This window comes from Homo sapiens, chromosome 11 (assembly GCF_000001405.40).
Source record: "Homo sapiens chromosome 11, GRCh38.p14 Primary Assembly".
NCBI lineage: Eukaryota > Metazoa > Chordata > Mammalia > Primates > Hominidae > Homo > Homo sapiens.
In genome coordinates this window covers 43,556,488-43,582,751 of record NC_000011.10, presented here as the reverse complement: position 1 = coordinate 43,582,751, position 26,264 = coordinate 43,556,488, and the positions used below count along the sequence as shown (strand labels likewise).

The following is a 26,264-nucleotide window of genomic DNA, read 5'->3' as shown; positions in this document are numbered from 1 at the left end:
CTCGGACTCTGCAGCCCTTTCCTAATTCTGGAGAGGGTAGAGTCCGGGTGTTCAACCAGCGGACAGGTTAATGACGGTGGGCGTTTAGTTTGTTGGAAGAACGGTGGTTGTGATACGGGGGAAATTCAGGCCCTCCCCGAAAACGTGAAGGTTCGCAGCCCTCGGGTCTTGAACTCCGGTGTCTCTAGACCCATCTTCTACCCATTTCTGTCCCTGTGGGCACTCATGTGTGTATGTGTGTCCTTCTGGCCCAGTCCCTAAGGGCAAGGGCGTCTAGCAGTGTTCCTAGCAGGCGAAGGGCGCGGGGAGCGTGGTGAAGGCCTGATTTGTGCCACTTGTGACCGAAGTGGTCAGGACTGCAATGAGTGGAGGGGGAGGAGGGGGACTCACAGACTCTCCCCTCTCCTGCAGCTTTGCCCCCCTCCCCAGGACCGGCGCCTGGAGAGGCCGGGATGGGGCTGCTGCTGCTGCTGCTGCTTCTGTTCCTGCTAAGCGTCTGAGTCGGGCACAACCGCATCTCTCCAAAGCTCCTTCTCTGCGGGGGCTTCCCCAGTTCTCGCCTGTTTTACCCCCTTCCGTGCTACTTAGTTTTGAAAAAGAGGAGATGTGGGAGACCCGAGGCTGCAAAACGCCCCAAATTAGGTTGGAAGCAGGCGCGGGAGGAAGAGACTCCGGGGATCGGGCGGTGCCTGGGTGTTTTCCCTCTTTTTCGGATCTACCCAATTCACCGCGGCTCGCCTCACCTCCGGGTCCCCCGCACCAGGACATAAGATACTAAGGGCCTCCAGCCCCTCCCTCAAGGGCTTCCCCACCCCCATATTGCAGAATCGGATCATTACGGTCAAAAATGACCACAAAATGTCCTAAACTGATTCATATTCCAGGTTCTGACTTGGCCTTAAGCTCAGATCCTTTTCTTTGCATTGAGTGAATGGGGTTATTCGTGGTGTGGGCGGGGGTTGGGGGGAAGACACAACTTCTGTAAACTTTTATTGCATTTTAGCTTCTTCTCACTTCTCCGAAAACACACACACCCCACCTGCTCCAGTTCCCCCTGTGATACAAAGTCTGTTAAAAAGTTGGGGGCGGGGGACTCGCTCGGAGGGAAGACAGGTGACCAAAGCCTCGGGCACCGCGGAAAGGACGGGGGAAAGGGCCGAATCTTCCGTGGAAAACGGGGAAAGGGCCGGGTAAGGCTCGGATGGAGCAGCTTCGGGAAGGTGCGGGCTTCGGCGATCGCTGGATGGCTGCCGTCTTCTCGACGAGTGCGCCCTCCGCAAATGCTTTTTGGGGTAAGGGCTTCCGGCTATTGAGTTATGTACAGCAAGCCCAGACCGCAAAAAGATTCGCGAAGGGCAGAATATGCCGGCTTCTTCGGTTCGCCGCCGCCTTCAGCCCAGGATGTCTCCGAACCCTGGAGCCGAACAGGCTGGGTCTCCCCAGCGCGTTCCATCGCGGCTCAGTCTCACCACTCCGCGCGCTGCCCGCCCCTCCGCGCCCCTGGACTCGTGTCTCCATTTCTCCAGACCGTCCGCGATCCCCCAACTCAGCCCCGAGAGAAGTGTGTGGAGGGCGAGAAGGGGACCGCAGAGGGGCACCCGGATCCCGGAGCCCAGCCTCCACCCCTTTCCTGTCGCCCCAGCACCCGGAGCCTCCCCGCCTGCCTGTCCTATCCCTCTATCTCCCTATCAGAGTTCCGCCAGCCCCGGCTGCAAGGTCGCGGATCTCTGAACAGGTACAGTTCGGATTCCCCCCGAATCCCCTCTTATCCCTCAGAGTCCCCCAGCCAAGGTTCCAGCCGTGACTACAGGCGCTGCGTAAAGAGAAAAACTCCCCCAGAGCACTAAATAAATACAGACGAGGCCGCCAGCTCATTGGTGCGGACTAAAATCGTCACCCACCAATCAGAAGAGAGCTCACATTTCCCCCTTTTTTTTCAGAAGGGGGAGGGAGAAAAAAATATTTCCATTTCTAATTATTCAACAAAACCTAGACTGGAACATGTTAAAATATTGTTGTTGCCAAAAAAAGCGGTTCAGGACCCCCTCCTCATTCCAGCCCAAGTGAGGGGGTAGCGCGATGTATTGGGAAAGAGAGGTTTAAGAGAGCGACCTCTCCCAACGGGACCCAAGCCAGAAGATCCAGACGAAAAATGACAAAGATGAACATAAAATAAACCCAAACTCCACACTAGTCATCCTATTTCTAGAAAATTGAGAATGTCTCAACACCCCCTTTCCCACCCAAAGTTCTGAATGCTCAACTAGGTGAAGCTCCTCCCTCCGCATCCTCCCCGAAACCGTCTCAGTATTGGGTGTTTAATGGCCCATTCGCCTCAGGTGCACTTTCAACTCTGCAGCCCACCCCCCCGCCCCCAACTCTCTACCCATTCTGCAGAATGCTAGGGGGAACAACAAGGGGCGAACCCGTCATTGACTGCCTGACCCCACAACGACGGGAGATTCCACCTTCTGCGGGAGGAAGAAAGGAGGGGAGGGAAGACTAGAGATGGGGAGAAAGGAGATCTCCTTCCCTCACTCTCCCTCCCTCCCTCTTCCTCCCTCCCTCTTCCTCCATCCCGCTCGGCCCCCTCCTCCATCCCATCCATCCAAACTTTGAGGGGTTGCCCTTCTTCGCAGTGCAGCGCCACCCTTCCCACATCCTCTCCTGCCCCTCCCCCCCCCCATTAGTACCTAAGCAGGGTGTGGGCTAAGGGACGTCCTGACTATCTCCCTCCCTAGCAGTATAGTCCCCCAGTGGGGGAAACCTCACCCAGGATGGGTTACTGCAAACATTGCAAGAACTTGGGGGGAAAGTTGCCATATTTGTTCTTTGGCACCCTGGAATCGACGTGCGGGCGGGCGCGCGCGCGCGCACACACACTCCCACCCTCGCCCAGCACGCCCGGAGAAAACGTCTCTCGACGGTGGAGGCACTGTCTTCAAGTCCCTGTCGACCCACCCCCTTCGCCCATCCATCACCCTCCTGCAGCTCCGCGACCCACTCACCCTCCCACGGCATCCCCTCGGCTCCGGGACTGACAGACGCAAGCACACACCCTCCGAGCGTCTGCGCGCCCGCCGCGCCAGAGGGGCTCCGCGGTCTGCGCCCGCCGCCGCCGCGGCGCGGGGCAACTGGGAAAAAAAAGTTCTGCTCAGACTACCCGTGAGCCGACCGACTACCAGTGAGCCGACCGACCACCAGCCGACCCGGGCGCCGACTCCCTGCTCCTTACCTCGGTCTGGGGGCCACGGGAGCGCGCCGGTCCCGTCCGCACTGCAGCCAGCTGGAAGCAGCCCCTCTCCTGCCGGCCCGCTCCCTCCGGCCCCTCCCCGCCCCCCACGGGTGTTTGCCCGGCGGCAAAGCGGGTTCTTCCAGGTAAGTATATAAGTTACTGTACTGTGTGGGAGGGTCACGATCTTGGTAATTGCGGCTTTCCGAGCTTAACCCCTGCGTTCCTGCCTTCCTCCAACTTGTTGAAGACTCGTCGCTTAGCGGGAGAGCGAGCAGGCGCGCCACTGCGAGCGCCGGCCGGGAGGGGGAGCGAGGTGCGCGGGGCAGAGAGGGGACAGCGAGACAGCAAGCGACGGAGTTCAAATGCCCCCCTGGCAGCGGTTTTCATTGGATAGGTCTTCCCCCCCACCCCCGTCCCCACTGATTTGGTGCCCCCCCGCCCCCCATCTCCCATGTAGGGGACGTCTCCAGGCGAAGTCACGATTCCTTCTCAGTTCGGAATGAACTGTGACTAGAGCCATGACGCAGCCAGCGCGCATTACTCACTTTTTGCAGTCACGACTTGGGAATCCGTGCTGGTTCCAACCAAAATTACACCGCTACCATTGAATTATTTAATAGGATCCAGTTCGGGGGGTAAACTTGTGCATTGTGCCAAGCAATGAGAAGGGGTGGGGAAGAATGGGGAGGTGGAAATGAGGCCATGGGGTGTCCCTCCGCCCCCTTCTTGACTCTTGGACACCTCCCCCCAACCACCGCTCCACGTGTTGCAAGTGCTTTATTGGCGCTACCACCACTCCCGCCCCGACCGCTCCCCCCACCCCTATTTCCTTTGCAATTGTGGCAGAATTTGTAAACACAACCACGCAACTTGCAGGGCTGAGAGGGGCGAGGCTTGGGAAAGGGAACCAGTAGGTCCCAGTGAATGACGAGGAGGCCGCGGGGTGGGCCGAGAGGCTGTGAGCAGCTTTGGTTTGAACTGAATTGTCAAGACAAAGTGTGGGTTGCAGCGTTATTTGTGTTATTCTGCACATCGGTAAAAGCCCTTGTTACTATTATGAGTTGAATATTCAGTCTCAGTCAGGGAACCTTCCGAGAGAGGGACGGCTTCTGAGCTAAACATAACTCACCCACCCTCTCATCCCCCGGCCCGGGCTGCACCCCTGTTACCCTGTATCGGGGTCAGGTCACTAAAGCCAGAGGCTGTTGACAGAAGGGAAGGGGTGAATGAAGCAGAGAGACCTGGTCTCTTCTCTGTCCTGAAGGCTAGCCCCACTAATACTTACCTCACCGTCCCGAGTTTATATTTTTTAATAAACATATAAAATATTCCTGCACGTACACAAATCTTACTGCAGACCTGCAAGAGTGCTTCATTTCTCCCACAGTCTACAGCCCATCCTCACGGGCCAGCTTGAGGATGTACTTTTATTCTCCCTCTCCTGGAGTTAATCAGCATGAATGTCTTTGTGTGCGCGTGATACTCATTCCCCCTCTGCCTCTGATAATCTTCCTCCCTCCTCACCTGTCTGGCCACAGATTCGGCCAAAGTGTCTGGAGCTGACTGCACTGAATCTCAGTCTGGGTCCAGCCCACAACCCCAGAGAGCTGATGGTATTCCCAATAACATTTGGCAACTTAGAGAACACCTCCTCCCCAATTTCCCTTCAGGCTGATTTAGACTCCTTTAGCTTTTGGCTTTAAGGCGCCCCGCGATGTTCCCTAGCTTGGATTCTCTGCGCATCGCACCAGCAACTCCTGTGCTTTGGCTTCTAATTCACTAATTCCACCAACTCACTTGGGGCTTCTATGACTAGCATGCGAAAAGGGGGGAATAATAAGAAAAATGCCACACCACACTACTTTACACACCTCCCGGGAATTACAGAATACGGGGGTATGGGGGGCATGAAGTGGGAGGGGACGAGGGTCCGAATAAAACAACCTATAGGCTCTTATTTTGAGTCACCATCACCGAGGAGAAATCTTTCAAACCCACTGGCGGGAAGGTGCGGGATCCTGGGAATGGAGACCCGGATAGTGCCTGGCCTCTGCAGGGAAAGCCGGTGAGCCACTGGCCTTCCATTCCTGAAACGCCGGGCCTTGGCTCATCCTCGAATCTAACACTTCGCTCCCCCTCCTTTAAATCTTTTTTCCTTTCCTTCCCACTCACCCCTCCTTCCCCCCAAAGCTCTCACCGAAGTCACGACTATCCCTTTGAACATCCTTAACCCTCTCGTCCCCGTATCCCTCTCCTGCATCCAGGGCGGGGCTAACCGCAGCTGGCGCCAACCCCGCCCCCTGGCGCACGGAACTGAACTCACTGAGGACCAAGGCATTTTCAGCACCTATCTTCCGTGGACAGCAACCGAGTCTTGGGCCAGCCCGAACCAGGGTCGCCGTCCTTAGTTCCCGGACCGGAACCAAAAGGGAGGTTTGTCAAAGGAGTAGAGATTTTTCCCTCTCTTTACCCAACCCCATCCATGCAATTTTGATCTATATTGCACAGTCTCCATTAATCTCTCAGAGATATGGCCCATTAAATCGTGTCTGGCCATCCTTTAAGACAGAGAAAATGGGGAGGGGAGGGGGCCATCGAGAAAACCGAGCTCAACAGCGCCGACCCATAACGCGAGAGAGAGTTGCAGCAGCTATTGATTCAGAGATTCGTCAGGGTGATTCCCGGCTCTGCAAGAATTCCCTCTCTCGGTTTCTTTGCATGCAGCCCCAAATTCATTATACACATACACACGCACACAGCTACACCCCTTACCCCCTAGTCAGTCCCACTATCCTCTTTAGAAGGGGCAAAAAAGGCAGCCAAAAAAGAACCCCGGAGCATGCACAAAGTAAGCGTCAGCTCATACTCACAGTCTGCGGCATGCACATGACATAATATTACTTACCCAAACGGGAACTCCTTAAGAGAGAGAAAGAGAAACATAGGGGGAGGAAAGAGAAAGTGGATGGAAAGAGGAGAGAGGAGAGGAAAAATCCAACAATTAATTTCCAGACATAGTTGTGGGGGGAGGAATGCGGTGATGTCCAGGTTTTCTTCCACCCGCGCTGGCTTTTTATCCCAGTACAGCCCTCGGTTTATTTCTGGAACACGATCAAACCCTGATGCTATTTTTAGCAAGTACTGAAAAAACCTCCACACACAAAGGCATTTCGCTGGAACCTTACTTCCAAAACATTAAATGTGCATTAAACGCCCCCTCCTCACTTTTTTTTCCTGCACCACCAGACTCACTTGCATAACTGCAGAAAATGTTTTTCAAATCAGAAAAATACCCAAATATTTCTTATATTCTCCCTCCCTCCCGTTAACTCCCATCTGTCTCTGCCTGTTGCAAGCTCCTCGCAGTCTCCCCGAGCAGAAGGCGTTGGAGTGGTTGTATTCTTAGAGCTGCATGTCTCCATTGATCAGATTCCCTACATGCTGAGGAAAGTAGGGGGTGGGGGGGCATAGCCCCTTCCCCAGAGGAGCTTCCCAGGAGAGCTCTAGAAGCGATTGCTATCCACGATGGAGATTCCCAGATGAGGAAAAAAAAAATCATCCATACCCTTCCCACGTTTCCCACCCACGCTCTGCAAAATCGCGTTGTGTTTGCAACACACCGCCTTTGGAAATGTATATTTTGAAAGCTGCATATGTGTGTCTGTGTGTGTGTTTTGCGTTCTAGTAATTCACTACGAGGGGGCTGGAGAAAATAGACTCATGAAGGCAGCGCGGAGCAGCCGCCTTGAGTCTCCTTTGCCAGCCTGCGTCAGTCATCAGCTACTGACGTCACGTGCAGATTCTCCTCTTTGGTGGGTCTGGTTCAGCTGAGAAGACGCTTCTGCTCGGAGACAGCGCTTTGTGTTCCACGCAGCCACTGAGCAGGCGAGGCGGCCGAGGCGGGCGCCACCCCAGGCTTGGGCTGGGCAGCTGCAGAGCAGGCTGCAGCCTAGTCTGCACCGGGCAAGCGGGGCCCCGAGGGGCGTGCCCAGCAGGACAGCCCCCTCCCCAAACTCTCCCAAGACGCCCAATGCAAACTCGGCCGTGCACACGCTCCCGCGCGCGTCCTTTCCCCGCCCTTTCTCATCTGGTCACTGTAGCATAGACAGCTATGGCTGTAACTCGGATTAATTCTGTGTGTTTGTCGGGCAGATAGCCCCGGCTCCTCGAGTGACGCAAATAACAGATTCTAAGGCTCCCGCTCTCTCCCTCCTGCTCTCTTTTTCTCCCTCCTTTTCCCTCTTCTGTTTCCTGCGCCCACGCATCCTGCCTGGTCTCCCACGGAATCAGCCAGTTATACAGCTTCCCAGAGAGCAATGATCCGAGTTACAGAGAGACGGACAGACTCCCAGAGCAGAAACAAATAAGCCTGCAATTAAATACACACATGCACACAACCCTTTGCAAATGGCCAGCAGCCATTTAGGGGCTCCCCTGTGTGGGGGAAAGGGGAGCTGATTCACAAATCCACCGCCCTCGAAGGCGTCAGTTCTGGCGGTGGGGAGCGCCCAGAGGGGAGTGTCCGGCTTGCTACTGCGGCTTTCCCCTCTGCTCTCCACCCGAAGAGGAAACTCACCTCTATAAATACCCAGATAGCAGGGTATTCTGGAATAAATAACTTTTGTTGAATGGTAGGAGGAGGAGAAAATTCAACAAAGACTGCAAATGCTTAGTCTCCAGCGACATTATCAGGACTTTTTAAGGCGAGGTGACGTTTACCCTTTCTCCCTCTCAAAGACCAGGATATCTTTTTTCTGCTTAAAATAATGTCCCTGAAAAATGAGCTCAATGGATTAGTGCTATTTTTAAACCAATCTGAATGGAGCTTGCTTCCTAAGGGTGAGGAAGGGTGTGCATGTGTGTGTGGATGTGTGTGTCTCAGGGTGTGTGGGGTGTGTCTGAATCTGAGGTTTTCAGCAGAAGAAATGCCACACCTCAGCATGACAAAGGGTTTCTTGATTGATGAGTGATGGAGGTGGGGAGAATTCTTGCAGATTGGAAGATCTGAACAAAACCACATGCACACAAATCACCCTCCTTAAATGCACACATATCCTAGATCCACTTGGATAACTTCTGCCCTGAGAGGGGGAAAACCAGAAAGCAGAGAGCTATTTACAATCATGGCTGGAGGAATGGCTGATCTTCTTTCTTAACCCTAATTATCGACCTTCCCTGCAATGGTTTCCTTTGATGCCAGTAAACACTTTTCCAGAGGTTATCACTTGGATTTGGGGCACAAGGCCTGGGAGAGAATGATCATGGGCCTCAGCTGTGTCATCTCCCTTTTCAGGATCTCCTACTCTTTGTAACTTGCCTGAGAGATTTGGGGTTAAGCTTAGCCCATCCACTACCCTCAATTCCTGTCTGTGGCTTTAGCTGTGCCTACTAAAGGGAGACAGAGGACGTCTGCTGTGTATGGAGGACACCCTCTGGCAGCCCATCAGCAGCTGTTTATTTTTAGCTCACGATTGCATACATGCATGCATGTGAGAATGTTGCTGCAGTTGGGAGGTGTGCAGTCAGGAGAAATATCAATGAGAGGGAGGCGGCCCTGGTTCTTGCACTGAAGATGACTTATCACATGGGGTCATCAAATGTGGCCAGATGGACAGGAGACGCCGGCAGTGTTTCAATAAAGTCTCCTTGGATTAATGAAAATGTCAGGCTAAACATGTTTTTAAAGGCACAGAGTAGGTATGTTTTTAGATATGAAATTAGGTATGTGTAAGCATAAATTCATGTGTGTGGGCACATTCACAGAAGCCACATGGTTTCTGTTTGGACTATTGAAACTATACAGAGCAGGGCACTTTAGAATGTAACTGCTTTCTATGCTGTATATAGTGGCTGAGTGTTATTGTGTCTGATGTTGAGATCAAGACAGATTCATTTAAAATCACTTAACAACTTTTAAGCAAACCCAGAATCTAGTCCTAACAAGTAAGGTAGCGTTGGAAATGGAAGAAATGCACATCAGAACTTTAAGGGCAGCAGCCAAAATTATGCTGGTGTAACGCCGGCTTCCTGGTGGATTCAATGTCTTTGCTCCTCCCTCCCAGAAGAGGGCGCCTCTCTGCCTTGTTTCTGTCTTGCTCCAGTAATCAAGACAGAGAGGGGCTTGGAAGCTCCGCAGAAACATCTGCAGAAAGTTAGACCTCCATAGCTAGCATCTCCATTTCCCCTACTCCTCAGTCAGGTCCTTTGGAGGATGTCTGGGCTGGAGCTGGTGAAATTGGCTTCCCGAGCTGTCTCATCATCCTGTACTAAGGGCTGTGGTGCCCAATTCCTGTCTGAGCAGTCAAGCTAAAGACCCTGCAAATGAATAGACTGATGTGGAACCTGTCCAAGGTGAAAACCGCCTTCTGCATTGCCAGCTCATTCCAGAGCATCCCAAGCATGAGGAGGACTCGTTCCCCCAATGCTCCCCCAGAGGGCTTGTGGGAGTAGGCTGCTTATCACGAAGCCCTTGAAAAGAACTGAGTCTCCTCTCTTTCAGGGTGAGCGAAGCCCAGAAACTCCTGCCTGCGTCGACTGTCTCCTCCCCAAGCACCACGAAAAATGCCAGTAGGTAATGTACTGGATTTGGAGAAGGAAAAACAGTCCAGCTCCCATGATATCAACCAAGGGAAGTCCCTCAGGGAGGAAGTCTAGGAAAAGGATTCCTCTTTTCCTAAAGGTGTCTTCATCAGGGAGCAGAACTATTTTGGCCTAAGGAAAAGAGGGAGAGAGAAGAAACCAATAGTTTTTCAGCTTCAACTATATGCCAGACACTGTGCCGGACACTTTTACATAAGAAGCTTTATTTAATCCTTAAGGCAATTCTCTAGGTGTCATTATGATAATGGTACCTACCCCTTAGGCTTGTTGAGCATAGAAATCACTCCCAAAACAGTTATTATTTTTCCCATTTGAAAGCTAGGGAAATGGAGACCATAACGTTTAAACAGCTTGTCTAAAAGTCTTAGAACTTGAAGTTACAAAACTAAGGATCAGATCAAATTCATATCTGTATGGCTCCAATACTCATGCCACATCACTCCATCATGTTGCCTCGATTCCAACCTCTGATCTTTAATATTCCAGGTCTATCCCCCAACATGTGGAGTTGGAGGTGTCTGGGACTTTCTCAGACATTTTCTGAATAACGAGACTGATCTATTCCTCCTAAGAAGCCTGTTAGCGAATAGATGCCCCCTGAATAAGGCTCTCTGCCTGTGAGAAGAGACCCCTCCATCCTATTTCAAGGAAAGCCCTAGCTGGTTTAGCCTCATCCAAAACTCAAGGGATTTGCCTGAAACCAACCAGTTTGTGGTGGAGATGCAGTGAACTTGACATTCATTCAGGCTGCTGCATCCAAGCATGCTTCCACTCACACCGAGGATGCCCCTGAGATGGTCCAGGGAAGAATTAGGAACTCCCTGGTCCAGTCTTCCAAGAAACCTTTCCTAAAGTAAGAACAGCAGAAAGTCTACATGCACCTTGAGTTAGCTAGTCATCCTAGTCCTCCGTCGCTCCTTCAGAAACTAGCATCTCTGATTATTTTTCTGATTCTGAAAACTTTATAGGCTGAGCCATTAGCACGGTGGGGGTAGATAGGCCACAGCATGCATAATTCAGGCTATTTCAAGATCCCCTCCCCTTGTTAAATACACATTTTCATCACTTACCCTGATCAAGAAGTATATTCGGTCTTGGAAAGCACTTCTTAGAAGCCAGCATATTTGGAGATTTGAGGGTGAAAGTTTTAAGGACCACTGGATGCTGGAGGAAAGTGACTGTAATTCCACCCCTTCCCCCTTTTTTTTTGGTTGCCATCAACAACTCAAAATAGTCTCAACAGTCTATTCACCTGAAAGTAACATTGTTCAACTTCAGAACAGTTGAGACAATATCTGCTTTTCGCACAACCCCATTATCGATGGGCAAACTCAAATGCCCTCCTCTCAGCCATTCTAACTGCTGGACACCTTGGAGAACCAGATGATAGGTTTTCCCATGCCTTGCTGATAAAAGGCACATTGGAGAGAATGAGAACCTAGAGAGTCACTCAGGAATACCTAGAGTTGGTTTCATGGTGAGGATCTCAGCAAAGACAGGGGAGCTAAAGCAAGCACATGATAGGGGGCTGAGGCTGGGGCAGGGATCAGGATTCCAGCACACTTGAGCTTAGCAGAGGCTAAATAGAAAGGTGTCAGGGGTTGGGAAGCATGGCCACAGAGAGAAAAGAACAATCTGCAGCATGTTTAGAGATACCTGCATAAGTTTAGCCTTAACCTTGTGGTTGAAGGACAGTTGTTTATCTACCTGAATTCAGCAGGCAGAGAGATAGCTCAATCACAAATTCATGGGTGTTGGGTAGGTCTGAATTAGCAGAACTTTTTATTCATTCACTATTAAAGCAGCCTTGCAATTAGCTGCTGATCTACTAAGCTTGGATCACTATATCTGGTAGGCCAAGAGTAAAGAATGGGGATTGTATTTCTTTAATTCCTAGTCTAATAAGTATAGGCTGGGGGACATAGAGGAATAATGGACTAACATATCTGCTGGATAGGCAAGATTTTTTGTACTTATTGGAGAGGCTATTAGTTAAATAATGAATTGGATCTGAATCTTGTCATGAGAAGAGAGACTTCAGTTCACATTTGAAAACCTGGTATCTTCCATCAGTGCTAGCTTACCTATAAAAGTAGAAAGAAAAGGGGAGGGGAGAAAATACACTTTCTAGGTATGGTGGGTTTTCAGAGAGCTACACTTTTTGTAGTAGTGATTGTCTTTGAGAAAGAGACAACAAATTCTGGTTTGGTCAATCCTCAGGATCTGTTTTGGTTTTATAGAGGTCTAAATTAACATTGTGAGGCTGGACTAACATCTATGTCTGGGCTAGGATCCCTGAAGAGCATTTGGGTAAAGAGGGACCAATAGAGGACAAATTTTAGGGCCTAACAGGGTGGATCTGACTCATCAGCACAGGGTTTATCAAAGCACTACAAACCACCCTAGACAGTGCGGGCAAATGCCACTTACCTCACCATCCAGGAACCTGTGGCTCAGGACCCATGAAGAAAAGCCTTGGGTCTCAAATGAAAATGCCCAGTATGAAGCCATTGCAATGTGGTTGAATGAAATGCAAATTTAATTGGAGAAAAAAATCTAGATGATTTCATCCTGTATTCAGGGACAATCCACTTCTGAGGATCTTTCTCTTTCTCCTCCCTAGCCCCCCTATATTCTAAATCTTAGTCCAGTCTTGAGTAAGCTGTTTCACTATATCTGACTGGGAGCAAGGTATTTCTAGTCTTTCCATGTGGTTTCAATTACATCACACTCAGATACACCCTGGGTCCCTTCATTGAGTGTGACTACTCTGGAAAAGTGTCTTGTAACTTCATTTTAGCAGAAAGTAGGATTTGCTATGGTTTTCCTGACAGGAGGCTGAGTGATGGACTGAATCTAGCATGAGGGAGGAATAGGAGAAAGAGAAATTAATGTTAACCCTCTGGACATAATTTGCCAAACAGAGACCAAAGCCACTGCCCATTAGAGGGCACTTTAGAGAAGGAGCTGAGTTGGTGGTGGATGGAGGAATGATGGTGGTCAATGAGGGGTTATTATGGCAAATGTTAATAGGAAGATGAACATGAACAGCAACATTGCAGAAAGCACGAGGTAAAGGATGAGGTGTGTCCTGGGTGTTTGAGGACTGCTTTGAAAACTCATCTGGTCTCCTCTTGGTCATTGACGCTCCTACAACAAGCAAGAGGAAAGGGACATGGTGTCAGCAATCCACATTCCATCACTCACAATTCCCTGGGAGTGTTCATTTCCAGGCTCTCCCCTCCCCTCCTTCGATGGGACCATTTTGGCTTTACTGGGGATGGGGGCAACATGGGGGCAGATGCTCAAAGCTACAGCTGGGCAAGGGGATGATCAGTCTTACCAGCAGGTGGCCAAATATGAATATACTCCAAATTGGCCTATCTGAACAGACTATTCATCAAGAAGTCACTTTTCTGGCAAAGTGGAGTTTGTGGTATTAGGAGGTCAAACCAGAAAGTGCTGCTTCCACCCATAGCTGAGGGCCAGGAGGTTACATTATGGATAAATCTTTTTAACCTAGCTGCTCTGTTTAGGACAATGACAACCAATTGCTCAGGAGACACTGCAGAAAGTCTGCCCTTGTTATTTCTGTGTTGTTATCAGCAAGTGCCATTCTGATACCATTATGACATCACTCTGTTTTTAGGGGAAGGGGCAACTAGTGGAAGGTCTCAAGTCAGGAGTGGGGAGCTGAGTGATGTCTGCTGTAGCCACTGTCCCACTGTGTAGATTTAGAGACACACTGGCAGTGAAATTGGAGACCCGAACCCCAGCCAAAGCAGGAATGGGACTCCTATTACTTACCCATATCTCAACTCCCCAGTAAGAACCAATGTGAAAATGCTTTGATTCTCCTGGGTGAGGTGAAATATTTATGGCTTCATGAGCTACAGGAGAACTGAAATAATATTTGGGATTCTCTCAGGGACCTAGATATCTCTAAAATGTGGACTGGTGAGAGACCAACAGTAATAAGATGAGTGGCTTATGTCATTCCCAATTCCCAAATGACTCAATATCAAGGAAGCTCAATTATGAACTAGCCCAAAACAGAGAGACTCAGGAAAGGATCTGGATGTAAAACAAGAAGGTAGCTTCACAGTCTTTATTTTATGTAATTAAAAAACCCATGCTAGACTCTGAGTTCCAACCAACACCAACCAAAAAGTCAGAACTTAAGCTGAGAGTGACAGTTCTGGTCTTGATTCTGCCATTTGCCCCTAAACAAAACCTGGAAACAGGCACTCAGTATCTTAAGTTCCCAACCTATAAAATGTGTGGGCACTATCTGCCCTACCTATCTCATGGAATTTTATTTTAAAAGTAGGCGTGAACATGTTCCACAAATTTTAAAAGGCCTCACTTCTGTCATGGAAACTCTTCTTAGTCACTGTGGTAGTTCCCTGCTTTCTTCAACTTGGGCATCACAGTGAGAGTGCAGATTGGACAAAGCCTTGCCATGTAATTAATTGCCTCGAGGGCTGAATTAAAAAAAAAACAAACAAACAGGAGGCTGGGTGCAGTGGCTCACGCCTGTAATCCTAGCACTTTGGGAGGCTGAGGCGGGTGGATCACTTGAGGTCAGAAGATCAAGACCAGCCTGGCCAACATGGTGAAACCCTTTCTCTACTAAAAATACAGAAAAAATTAACGAGGTGTGATGGTGCATGCCTGTAATTCTAGCTACTCGGGAGGCTGAGGTGGGAAGATTGCTTGAAACCAGGAGGTGGAGGTTGCAGTGAGCCAAGATCACACCACTGCACACTCCGTCCCGGGCAACAGAGTGAGAGTTCGTCTTAAATAAATAAATAAATAAATAAAATTAAAAGAATAAAAAAACAAACAGGGCTGAGATTCTATAGGACCTAGGAAGTTTATGGCGCAATCTCAGAGCCTCTTTATATTAGGTGATGAGATCAAGTGCCACTTCCAACCTCACATTGTCCGTTGACTCTTGCTTCTCTTGAGTTGTCACTCAGGAGAATCATAAGAATTATGAGGGTCACTAAGGGGGTCTATTAGTCTATGGTGATGCCAGGAACTTATTTAATCCCTTCAGGTCTCAGCTGCCTCATTTGTAAAATGCTGGTTTATGGTGAGTATTAAATGAAATAATGCACACAAAATGCTTAGCACTATCTTGGCACCCCCAAAACATTAGATGAAATTGTAAAAGAGGCAGAAGAAACCAGTATCTGCAGTTTCATCTTCCTTGGCACCTCAGGACACCTTTTCTCCTTGCTTCAAGGTGCCAGGATGCTCGGATGCTTTAACTTGATACCCACAAGGCAGGGCGGAATAACTGCGATGGATTTCTATCAAAGAGCCAGTAGAGGGAGCTCCAGAGTAAAACTGTTCTCTCTTGCACATTTCCTTCATTTCTCTATAGAACAAATCTCTGCCCAGAGGCCACAGGCTTTTTCTCCACTAGAAATATTTTACTTAGAGAAAACTGGAGACCTCAGCACAGGACCTGGACCCGGTTCTGCTTTCAGGTAATCCAGGTGTTTTTGAACTTTAGAGACATCTTGAGTCCCATGCCGAGGTTCAACTCTTGGGCTCCATTTGCAAGTTGGGCTAGAATGGATGGTTCTTATGGGGCTGGTCCCAGGAGATCGGAGGCTGAGGCTGGAGCTTAAAATTTTTCTGGCCCTTGGATTTTGAATGTGTTCTAGCTTTCCAGTCATTCTCTTCCCACAAATATCTAGAGTGACAGCCATTAAAGGACCTTATTATAAACTTTTTATAGAAGAGTCATGGAGCCCGGATAACCTTCCTCTCCCAAAAAAGATTTGCATCAGGATGGTTGTATATCCCACTTAACAGCAACAGGATGAGGGAAATTGTTCTTGCCTGCTCTCAGGAGCCTTTAAAAACACATTCTCTGATAAACTAAGTGATGGACACGGAATCCTTCTCACACAAAAGACCTAATATGACTGTTATAAAGGGAGCAAGACAGAGTCTACTGAAGCTCTGAACCAAGTTTTTCTGCAGTCCTTTCCCTGCTGAAATTCCTCAGGTTAACTAGTCGGCTAACCTATCGGGGCACAGATCTTATTATTATTATTTTTAAATGTTCTGGGGGCTGGGCGTGGTGGCTCACGCCTGCAATCCCAGCACTTTGGGAGGCCAAGGCAGGTGGATCATGAGGTCAGGAGTTCGAGACCAGCCTGGCCAATATGGTGAAACCCCGTCTCTAATAAAAATACAAAAATTAGCCGGGCGTGGCGGTGTGCGCCTGTAGTCACAGCTACTTGGGAGGCTGAGGTAGGAGAATTGCTTGAACCCGGGAGGAGGAGGTTGCAGTGAGCCAAGATTGCGCCACTGCACTCCAGCCTGGGTGACAGAGCAAGAATCCATCTAAAAAAAAAAAAAAGTTCTGGGTCACAGTTAATCAGTGCAATAGTAGGAGCCCCAAGAGATGACGGGAAATCTTCCTGGTCTTTCTTACAATTAACAATTGCTCACTGCCTGATTTTGATTAGCAGTGGCCTGGCTTCTTGTTAGGTACCCAAGAGGCTCTGTGTTCACCTACTTACAGGATGATACACAGTTCAGAAGGAACCCAGAATAAGACAAAGACTTGCCATTCAGGAAGGTTAAAAATATTTGATGAGAGCTCCTCACCCCTTTTCTGCTGGCAAGATATCAAGAGTAACAATAGCTAATATTTAATGAGCCCCATATTTATTAACCTCAGGTACTGTGCAAAGAGGTATGTATACATCATCCCACTCAATGCTAATGACAACTCAATGAAACAGTCCCTATTACAATTTCTACATTCAAGTTGAAAAACTGAGGCTTAGAGAGGTTAAATAATTTGTCCAAAGTCAAACATAGCTGTTAAGTGTAGAAACTGGTATTCGGAAATACAGAGCATCCCCTCTTTGGGCCCTGGCTGGGTTCTCCAGAACAGACAGAAGTGGAGTTCCATCCAACATTGAGAGAAGTTTCAAAGGGTCAGGGGAAACTGAGCAGTGGGGCACACCTTGTTAAGTCCCAATCAGGACCGATGGAAGAAGCATCTGGTGTTCCTTCTCATTCATTGTCTCATTTCCACAGGGCAAGTGCAAACTGTCTGAGGAGGAAAAAATTACTTCTAGGATGAAGCATTTTACCTCTTTTTCATTTTCTAAGATGATCTCTCAGATACCTTGCGAAGCCACGCAGAACAAAAGGGAGTCATTACATATTTGGAAAATGCATTGGACCTCATGATTTGGGAATGAGCTATAAGACTGACAGCTGGGACAGCTAATTTAAGAGTAGAATTCTTTAGGTCCTGTACCTTAAAGGAAAAGACAGTTTTCAGGAGCTGCCATTAAGAATAATCTGAGGGTAAGTAATGGATTTTTCTCAGTAGCTATAAGCCATAACTCCATCTACCCTTATTGTAACTATGCTAGGCTCTGTTCACCTACCTCTGGTTAAGGGTCAGTGTTGACTCACTGGGGTTTGGACCAGCTAGGGGAGGCAGAGGCTGTATAGCTCACATCACAGGATGCACCTCTCCTTAATTATAGATGACAAAGACCCTGCCTTCAATCCTCTAATTAGCTTGGCTGCTCCTATTCATCCTCCACTTCCTGAGGTCAGTGGAGGGAAGCTGTCCAGTGAGAAGGTGGACTTCTGATTACATGGAGGAGAAAACGTGAAGGCGCCACTTCCTCGAAGGGCCTGAGGACCACTGACTATAAGAAGAAAGACTCGCTGGGCATGGTGGCTCACGCCTGTAATCCCAGCACTTTGGGAGGCCAACGCAGGTGGATCACTTGAGGTCAGGAGTTCAAGACCAACCTGGCCAACATGGTGAAACCCCATCTCTACTAAAAATATAAAAACTAGCCAGGCTTGGTGGTGGGCACCTGTAATCCCAGCTACTTGGGAGGCTGAGGCAGGAGAATTGCTTGAACCCAGGAGACGGAGGTTGCAGCCAGCCGACACAGTGCCACTGTACTCCAGCCTTGGTGACAGAGTGAGAATCTGTCTCAAAAAAAAAAAAAAAAAAAGAAGAAGAAAGACTCAACCCGTTCTGCCTGTCCTCTAATCCTCATCCCTCATCTCTATCATCTCTAGAGCTATTACCAAATGTTTTCATTAATGGAATAACTTGCTGCTCTGGGCCACCAGTATTAGCAAATATATGGGTTCCAATTGGTTTAAAATAGTATATTAAATTACAAGTCAAAACAACTTTGATCTGGATTGTAACTCAAGAGAATTGTTAATGTTTTGAAAAGATCTGGGGCCCATGCATATGAAAGGTTCATTCTGGTTAGGGATTTGTGGTCCAATTTGCTTCCAAGCCCTGGTAGGAATGCATCAACCCCTCAGCAGTGACCAGCCTTCATCATGCTGCAACTTACACGATATAAGTGATTAAGCTTTAAAAAATCTGAGAGCTTATAAACTAGCAAGTTAATGTAGAGTAGGAAAAACCCTCTAGCTTTGGGGAAGTGGCTAAAGTAGGAGTTTTCAGGGAATGAAGTGGCTATTTTGATCTTCCCTTGTCCCTTATATCATTTCCCAAATCTATGCAAATATAGAGAAGTATGTAGAAGCAAATAACCTTTGTAGTGAATTGGAATCCTCAATCCTGCCCCAGACCTGAGGCTAGGATGAGGCTACTCCCTGCAGAGCAGGTCTTCTCTGGCTCTCTGGTTATTAATACTCAAGATGTGGTGGTCAGGGTAAGTCCTATAGTTCTAGGACCCATACACTCTAAAATAATCAGCCCATGGGCTCCTAATGGAATGAATTGGGCCAGGCACGGTGGTGCACACTTGTAATCCCAGCACTTTGGGAGGCCAAGGCAGGAGGATCACTTCAGTCTAGGAGCTTGAGAATAGCCTGGACAACATAGCAAAAAATAAAAATAGCCAGGCATGGTGGCGTGCACCTATCTTTCGAGGCTGTAGTGAGCGATGATTGTGCCATTGCATGCCAGCCTGGGTGACAGAGCAAGACCTCATCTCTAAAAAAAAAGAAAAAAAAAGAATGTATTGCAGTAAAACATAAAAGAAGGCTGTTCTTCTCACTAAATATTACTAATGACCACTGGGACTAAAACTCTCTGGATCTTATTTTTTAAAGACAGGATCTTGCTCTGTCACCCATGTTGGAGTGCAGTGGCACGATCATAGCTCACTGCAAGCTCGAATTCCCAGGCTCAAGCCATCCTCCTGCCTCAGCCTCCAGAGTAGCTGGGTCTACAGGCATGTACCACCATGCCTGGCTAATTAGAAAAAAAAATTTAGTAGAGATGAGTTCTTGCCTTGTTGCTCAGGCTGGTCTCGAACTCCTGGGCTCAAGCGATCCTCCCACCTTGGCCTCCCAAGGTGCTAGGATTACAGTGGTGAGCCACTGCATCTGGCCAAAATATGGATCTTAATAGATGGAACTTGTTCTTTCACGACTGGTACTTCCACACCAATTAACACATTCACATCAACTCATGGGTGAAAGAATTCTTAACAGAATGGGACACTGAGCAGATAAATTTGGAATAGGAAACAGAAGCCTATGGTGGCTTATTGTTCAGGCGAGGGCTTTATCATTGCATAACAACCCAGGATTGGTAAGGGTCCTACCCAAAGGAGAATGTGGACTTTTAAAAGCCTCTCTCATCTCTGGACTACGAGTGCTACAATGGCAAGCAGCATCCATGTTTTAGTTATCACTGGATCCTGAGAATCTAGTGTATGGCCTTCCATAATGGGCCATACAGAAGTTCGTGTTGAGTTCCCAATTTTAATAAGTCCGTAGGGGCTAGGTAAGGGATTACTTTCTTCTGTCCTCCACTAGGAGATGAAGTCATGGCAATACAAGACCTGGGTGAGGAGTAGATAGTGATACCTGCCTCCAGAGAATCACTGAGGGGCTCTCACAGCATTCAAGGAGGACTTGGAACATCTACTTCAGCTGAGGGAAGACTCAAGTCTTCCCTCTAGGCTTCTGTGAGTCAAATGCAGATGATCTTCTCCCACCCACACTTGAGGTCCAGATCTGTGCTATGCATTGACTGAGTCCCTTTCTCCTTACCTGAAGTTGGGAACTTCTGGGACAAAAGAGTTGAGTTCCTAGTTGAAGTGAAAGCTCCAGGGAAGTTGCCTAGGCCTGTCCCTTGCTTGGTAGGGCCAATGGCTTTCAGTAAAGTATAGGGAAGATAGACTTTACCTTGTGTATGTGGAAGAGTCTAAGAGGTCTCTGCTAATTTCAGAAAAGGAAGAATCTACCCAAGCAAGAAAAAGCATATGGTAGAAATGCCATCCCACACCATGCCTCATAAGATGTTCCCAAGTCATTTTTCTGATGCTTCCCTGGTCCAGAGGTATAATAGCTAAAATAATAATAAAAAATAAAAGTGATAGACATTTGGTATGTGCCAGGCACTGAGCCAAGCCTTGCAAATATCAACTCAATGAATCGTCACAATAACTTTTTGAGGTAGGTCCCCATTTTAAATGTCAAGAAACTGAGGCTTAGAGAGTTTAAATAACTTATCAAAAGTCACATAACCAACCACATATAAGAGCTAAGAAAGATTTGAATGCACGCCTTCTTGGCTGCAAAGCCTAAACTATCCACAGTTACACTGTACTCAGGATGCCATCCAGCCTATCAGAGACCTATGCCTACTCCTATTGCTGAGTGAGATGGGAAAGAGAAAAAGGCAGGATTTAAAAAAATTTTTAATATCTGCCTTTGTGCACACACATATTACAGAAACACATGTATCACTTACTTATCTAGAGTGCTTTAAAATGAGCCAACTCACTTCTGATTTCATTCTCAAAATAACTGTGTGGGGTAGCTATTATAATGTGAATACTCCCATTGTTTAGGTATGATAAGCAGTTTACGAAGAAGCGAAATAATTTGCCCAAGAGCATACATCCACATGGTTGCTTGAACCTATGTGGTTTGATGCCAAATTCATAGCTCTTTCACTATAACATAGTGCCACAATAATGAGACATACTCTGAGTCAGCTAACATTTATTAAACACCCACCATGGGTCAAGCACCGTGCTAGGCTCATTTGTAAACAGTCAATCATTATTCATTGATTGGTCTTCCAGTCCACTAACTGGACTGTCGCTGCAGCAGTCTCCAAGTCTAGTAAAGGTTTTATAAAATAATAAGCAAGAATAATTCTTTTTCTTTTTCTTTCTAGGTACTGTCAGTAGCCTAGACCAAGCTAAATATTTCTCAAAAAAAAAGGGTGTTTGTGTCACTTGAAGGAACAGGCTAGAAAGGAAAGCTATATTAAGCTTGAAAAACACAACTCTCAAAAACTCTCAAAGTCCCTCAACCAACGATGGAGGGTCCATAGTCTTCATTCTCTAGGTTGGATATATTTTTAATGCTATTTTATTTACAAACTAGTCCACCTCACATCTCTAAGATGCCCTCTAGCTTTGCTCCCTAGTAGGTGAGGAGCAAAAGGCAGTTGATGAAGGCAGGAAAAATACTCTTTTTATTGGGTCCATCAGGAATGTAGGCCCGTCTTCCTCTAGACCCTTTAAACATCAAGCCCTGCTTCTTCCACAGCAACATCAATTGAATTAATTGCTAAAGTAATTTCTGAGAACTTGTCATCCTGGGCCAGGAGACCCCTGGGCAGACCTCAGAGCAGTTGTGAGACAAACAAGAAGCAGCACTAAATAATTAGCACAATTATTCATGAATCAAACCAAATATATTTTATTACTTTCAGGTGGTGAAACCTAAGTACAGATCAGTCAGGGTATCTCCTGGATGGGACCAAGCTTGAAAGTGGTGGGTGGGGATTGGAACCCATGCTTCATCTGCAAGGCTTGGGCTCTAAGCCACGGCTTCAGTGAAGAGATCAGCAGATGAATTCTCCCCTCAAAGCTGTGATAGCGTCACCAGGAAGTGGTGGATTTTCACAGAGTGGGACTTGCTTAGAGGAGAAGAAAGTCCCAATGGGTCAAAAATGGAGGCCGTTCAAGTTTTTTTTTGCTGCGGATTCAATTATTCGCTTGACGAAGGAAGATGAGTAATAGGGTTCTCAGCCTGAAGTCTAGGTTACTTCTTACTTCCTCCCACCTGGATTGACTTCAGGAGCGTGCAACTTGTGTAGTTGCAGGGCCCTTGGCTCAGAAGAGCTCCATGGTTGGTTTAAGATTCTACTGTTATTGTCTTGAAATTCTTAAAAATTTTGTCTTTGAACCCGTGTTTTGTAAGTGAAGTCTATGGGATAATAGAGAATGTGTGTGCCCATCCATCGTTCCTGTCCCACAATGTTGGCAGTAGCCCATGCGTACAGAATTCCAGTGGGAGCTCAGTGAGACTCGGGGCAAGTAGAATGGAAAGTAAGCCTATGACTACACAGACGGGGGACACAGACAGTGCCCAGAGGTCATGCTTTCTGTTTGAACCAGATGCTTCAAATGCAGAAGGAAGGCAATAGAGTTCTAAGAAACACTAATGCCTAAGGGACCCTAAAGTAGCATTTCTTACTTATGTTCCTTCCCTGTATTTGCCAAACACCTATGCTGAAAATGTTGACACAGAAGGAAAGGTGAAGATAGAGCAATCCATAGCTATTTCTCCTCAACAGCAAGCTGAAGGTGGAGAGTGCTGGTACAAAGCGCTTGTATCAAGAAGTGAAATAAAAACACTGGAGTTCATTTTGTCAGCATCTCCATTGTTCTGGTAAGAATGAAATACCTATGCATATGCGACATATGAAATGTGAATTGTGTAATTTCAGTGATTCTACAAATGAGTTAAACGCTCTTGTGTTTACATTTACAACTGGCATCACACAATATAAAGATGAACGGTAAAATTCATGCTAAAAATTTAAAATTTTTATTTTTATTTAGCACCACATGAAAAACAGCAAATAAAAAACCACCATGACGATTCTAGAGAGAGATTGTGGAAGAAAGACAAAGGCATTATATTTAGGCACTTTCTTCCTGCTTTTTGAACAAGGGGCCCTACGTGTTCATTTTGTGCCAGGTTCCATGAATTCTATAACCAGTTCTGCCCCTGCCCTTAGGTTTCTTTTGAGAAACAGGGCAAGCACCAGGGCTCATCCAAGGTGATGAAGATAAAAGTCGGACTTCATTCTTGCCATAAATGAGTAGACACCTGCTTGCTGTAATGCTCTCCAACGTCGCGTGAAGGGGCAACTGACACTCCTGAATGAATATGAGGAAACCCAAGGCAAATTCAGGTTCACCACATACACTCAGGGACATCAGGTCCACCCCTAAACTGGATGAAGAACGTCTCAGCTGGCATCTTCGGACTTGACAGAGAGGAAGAAGGTCTGTTTCCTTGTGTATGTGGCTCATGAGCTGACGTGGGCTCTCGTGGGTTCTCATGTGGAGAGAACCCTGGGTACCCACATGCATACTGTTGTGGTTTTTGCACATATATGTGCATGTACACTGCACATACATGTCTGCATGTGACAAGTGCTTGGGCACCTGGTAGAACCTGAGAGAGGTGGTCTTTCCATGGATCTCCGGGGAAGGCTGATGGACATGAAATACTTTTTAGGTGCTATTCTTCTGGAACTTGGTCCCTAGAAGACCACAGCTCAGAGTAAAGAGAGATACTGACAGTCTTGGAGGACTGTGGAGAGCAGATGGCTATAATTCCAGGACCAGATTTTTTTTTCTTGTAACCACTTCCCCCACAGCATTTATATCAAAGGGAGACAAATACTTGTTGACTTAAGCAATAAACAGAAACAATTTCCTTCTGAGAAGTGCAACACAAAGAAACCTGATGCTTTCCGGGCTGTGGAAGACTCTCCATCCCCCTTCTTGGAGCAGGACCTTCAGTGATATGGACAGTGGGTGTCAGGCCAGCTGACCTGGTTTTACTTCACACCGGCAGATCCAGGGATGCAGCCACCATCCACTCTGCTTTATTTAGTGAGACAGCACTTCATACCAACAGCAGGCTTAATCACAGTCTATACCAACATTTCACTTCCCATTTCTATGTCTGTACTCCTTGCCTTTTGGTTATTTGGGGTGGGGGGTGGCAATAGCATGCTGATTCTATCTTCCAAGCACCCTCCCCAAATCTCCTACTTCCCTGCTGAAAACGATTCCCTTCTCATGTTAATTTGATGACCCAGCCAGCTGCACCCCTCCGCCCCCGCACCCCCAGCGCAAAAGAAAAAGCCACTACCTTACTCCTTCAGAATTACATCCCCGCTCAGATGGTCTTCTCAACTACCAGCCCAGTCCAAAGAACCCTCGTCATATTTCCAGGCTCATCTGAACCAGACATTCAAGTAGTGCCCCCACACGGATATTTAAGGACCATGGAGGAGGGGGTATTCCCTCCTCCCCCTGTGTTCCACCTCCCAGAAGTGGCTGCTCTTCAGAGTGGAGGTGATTCAGCTTTCCTAGAAGATGATTTGCAGGGGGAAAAAAATGTACAGTACTACAGCTGAGAGTGCTGCCTGCTTCCCTCGATGAAAAAAAAAATCCTGCTCTCAGACACATGGAATTCCCATTGATGAGGTTTGGCCAACACCAGGCGCTGGATTTTCCCCGTTAAACATAAAGCTCTGGGTGAAAGACGCGGGGGAGGGAGAAGGGATAATGATATCTTTTCAACCTTTTCAGACCTCTGGGGGATTTGAACTCTGGCCCCCAAGGTCAAATGGCTGATGTTCAAAAGCCCCCTCTCTCCACCCCTCCACCTCTCTTCCCCAAGCTCCTTCCTAACAAAGAATGACTCTCTTTGCTACACACAATAAAGCCCTGGTGGATTTACCCAGATTAAAAAACCCCTTGAAGTCCCTGTCAAAACTAATCTTCTCAGGAGAAACACTTGTTGATAACCACCTCGCTTTGTGCAGCAGCAGGGAGGAACTGGGAGGACCAGAACCCAACGGAAAAACTGGCCTGTGACCTCCCTATCGTCACATGGCCCCAAGCACCATACGATCTCTGACCTCATAGAACGCCCCTCCTTCCACGACACACAAGTATTCTGCAAGCCCCTGCCCCATTTAGCTTCTCCACCTCAGGCTCCCCCCCGTTACAGCACCAGCCCCTCAAAGCAGGAAGGCCAACCCTGTAAGTCCCCAGACTGACAGACCCTGGCTGAGCTCCAGCCGTTCCCTCCTTCTCTGCCGCCCCCGAGTTTTAACCCTTCACCCTGCAGGGCTCAGTATCTCTTGTCTTTCCTGCTGCAAACTTTGTCAGGAGCCTTTTCAGGCGGTTTTCCTCTACACAACCAGCCCTTAAGATATCATGCATAAAGATTTCCCTCTACAGGTGGTTGTGAGCTGTAGCAGTTTTTGCTCTTGCAACGGAAACATTTATTTTAAATTTCATTTTACCCACGAATAAGGTTTTAAACAAAAATTATTTTGCTTACACCCACTAAAGACTTAGCATTTTCTCCAAAAAGTGGGAGAACATTAAGTTCTCTATGCAAGACATATTACCGCTCCCATCACCACCACCATACCGTGATTCTTTCTCTCTCTGACTCTCCCCACTTTTCTCTGACTTCATGAAGCCTTTTTGGAACTAAATTTTCACGTGCAAAATAATTACAAGAATTAAGACACTCAGTGAATGAGAATCAATCCAAGATATGGCCAAGTGGCAGAAGCACATGCCCACTACAGAATACTTCTCCACCCTCCACCCCCAAACCACAGAACACTAGGGTGGGGGAAGCCAAGACGGCGTCCCCTACCCAGCTTAACAACAGAGGACTGTCTTCCAGCTGGCATGCCTCCTGCAAAAACCACACATACAAGACCCCAGGAAAGCCTGCCCAAGAAGTCTAGGCAATTTGTACAAAGATAATTGTTCAATGAAAAAGACAGTAATCATGGTCAGTCATACAAATCTACTCCTCCAAACATTCACCAACTGACATCATAAACTTTGCAAAAGCCAAACACAAGACAGTGCATGGTATAACCTACCTTGGCGAGCTCCTTCACTTTTTGTGCAAATGTTTTCCCCTCCGCATGCTTTACATAGATTTCTAGGGAAATTTGGAAGGACTGGTGAGGGGGTGGGGGAGGTGAGGGAATGAGGGTAATATAAACAAGGAAGCATTTTAAATGCACCACGCAAAAAGCTCGGGATTTCACGTTATGTGTCTGCACTCTTCCCAGAGCAAAGCAAAACAGTTCGCGTTCAGTGCCAGACTTGGAGGGAGAGGGAGAAGAGAGAGGGTGGGGGAGAGAGAGAGGGGGTGAGAGGGAGGGGGAGAGAGAAAAAGAGGGTGGGGGGATGCTGAAGGAGAGAGGGAGAAGAAGAGAAAGAAAGAGGAAATGAGAGAGGGATACAGGGAGAGGAGAGGGGAGGTGAGGGTAGAGGGAGGGAGGGAGGGAGAAGAAAGGAGGGGGAGAGCCAAAGGGAAGGAGGAGAAAGAGGAGGCAGCCCCCTCCCAC

General features: G+C 47.8%; 2 protein-coding genes, 1 long non-coding RNA gene and 2 other non-coding genes across 8 annotated transcripts in view, besides 5 other annotated features; 1 reads left to right on the top strand and 4 right to left on the bottom strand.

The window, feature by feature from the left end:
- Nucleotides 1-26,031, bottom strand: part of HSD17B12 (hydroxysteroid 17-beta dehydrogenase 12) — a 299,895-nt gene extending 273,864 nt beyond the window's left edge. The window contains exons 1-2 of one of the 4 annotated variants that reach the window (XM_024448573.2): nt 25,791-26,031; nt 6,141-6,154 (exon numbers count right to left, since the gene is read on the bottom strand). The gene's annotated coding sequence lies outside the window, so the exon portion shown is untranslated. Of the gene's footprint in view, nt 1-3,008; nt 3,121-3,235; nt 3,600-6,140; nt 6,155-25,790 lie in introns of those variants that run through there. The other 3 variants (XM_047427074.1, XM_024448571.2, XM_024448572.2) reach the window with 3 other exon arrangements.
- MIR129-2 (microRNA 129-2) lies at nt 1,269-1,358 on the bottom strand. Its single transcript, NR_029697.1, has one exon. It is a non-coding gene; the product is annotated as a microRNA 129-2 (primary transcript).
- Nucleotides 1,274-2,073: an enhancer, noted in NCBI's record as "H3K4me1 hESC enhancer chr11:43602229-43603028 (GRCh37/hg19 assembly coordinates)". NCBI's record gives its function as "activates a minimal SCP1, AML or CMV promoter by ChIP-STARR-seq in primed H9 embryonic stem cells {active_cell/tissue: H9 hESC(primed)}" and the evidence as "EXISTENCE:reporter gene assay evidence [ECO:0000049][PMID:30033119]".
- Nucleotides 1,317-17,182, top strand: LOC124902807 (potassium/sodium hyperpolarization-activated cyclic nucleotide-gated channel 4-like). The gene is made up of 3 exons (XM_047428006.1): nt 1,317-1,735; nt 2,742-3,378; nt 16,907-17,182. Exons 1-3 carry the CDS (start codon nt 1,317-1,319, stop codon nt 17,060-17,062), a joined length of 1,212 nt encoding a protein of 403 aa, XP_047283962.1. The 3' UTR covers nt 17,063-17,182.
- Nucleotides 3,134-3,393: a silencer, noted in NCBI's record as "silent region_3269". NCBI's record gives its function as "represses an Ori minimal core promoter by ATAC-STARR-seq in GM12878 lymphoblastoid cells {active_cell/tissue: GM12878}" and the evidence as "EXISTENCE:reporter gene assay evidence [ECO:0000049][PMID:35858748]".
- Nucleotides 3,494-3,543: a silencer, noted in NCBI's record as "silent region_3268". NCBI's record gives its function as "represses an Ori minimal core promoter by ATAC-STARR-seq in GM12878 lymphoblastoid cells {active_cell/tissue: GM12878}" and the evidence as "EXISTENCE:reporter gene assay evidence [ECO:0000049][PMID:35858748]".
- Nucleotides 5,439-5,733: a silencer, noted in NCBI's record as "tiled region #5565; HepG2 Repressive non-DNase unmatched - State 20:ReprD, and K562 Repressive DNase matched - State 12:CtcfO". NCBI's record gives its function as "represses a minimal TATA promoter and a strong SV40 promoter by Sharpr-MPRA in HepG2 and K562 cells {active_cell/tissue: HepG2 | K562}" and the evidence as "EXISTENCE:reporter gene assay evidence [ECO:0000049][PMID:27701403]".
- Nucleotides 6,655-7,397: an enhancer, noted in NCBI's record as "H3K4me1 hESC enhancer chr11:43596905-43597647 (GRCh37/hg19 assembly coordinates)". NCBI's record gives its function as "activates a minimal SCP1, AML or CMV promoter by ChIP-STARR-seq in naive and primed H9 embryonic stem cells {active_cell/tissue: H9 hESC(naive and primed)}" and the evidence as "EXISTENCE:reporter gene assay evidence [ECO:0000049][PMID:30033119]".
- Nucleotides 12,352-13,446, bottom strand: MIR670HG (MIR670 host gene). Its single transcript, NR_131246.1, has 2 exons — nt 13,179-13,446; nt 12,352-12,985 (listed from the first exon to the last, which is right to left on the bottom strand). It is a non-coding gene; the product is annotated as an MIR670 host gene (long non-coding RNA).
- MIR670 (microRNA 670) lies at nt 22,999-23,096 on the bottom strand. Its single transcript, NR_031577.1, has one exon. It is a non-coding gene; the product is annotated as a microRNA 670 (primary transcript).
- Nucleotides 26,032-26,264: the final 233 nt, after the last annotated feature.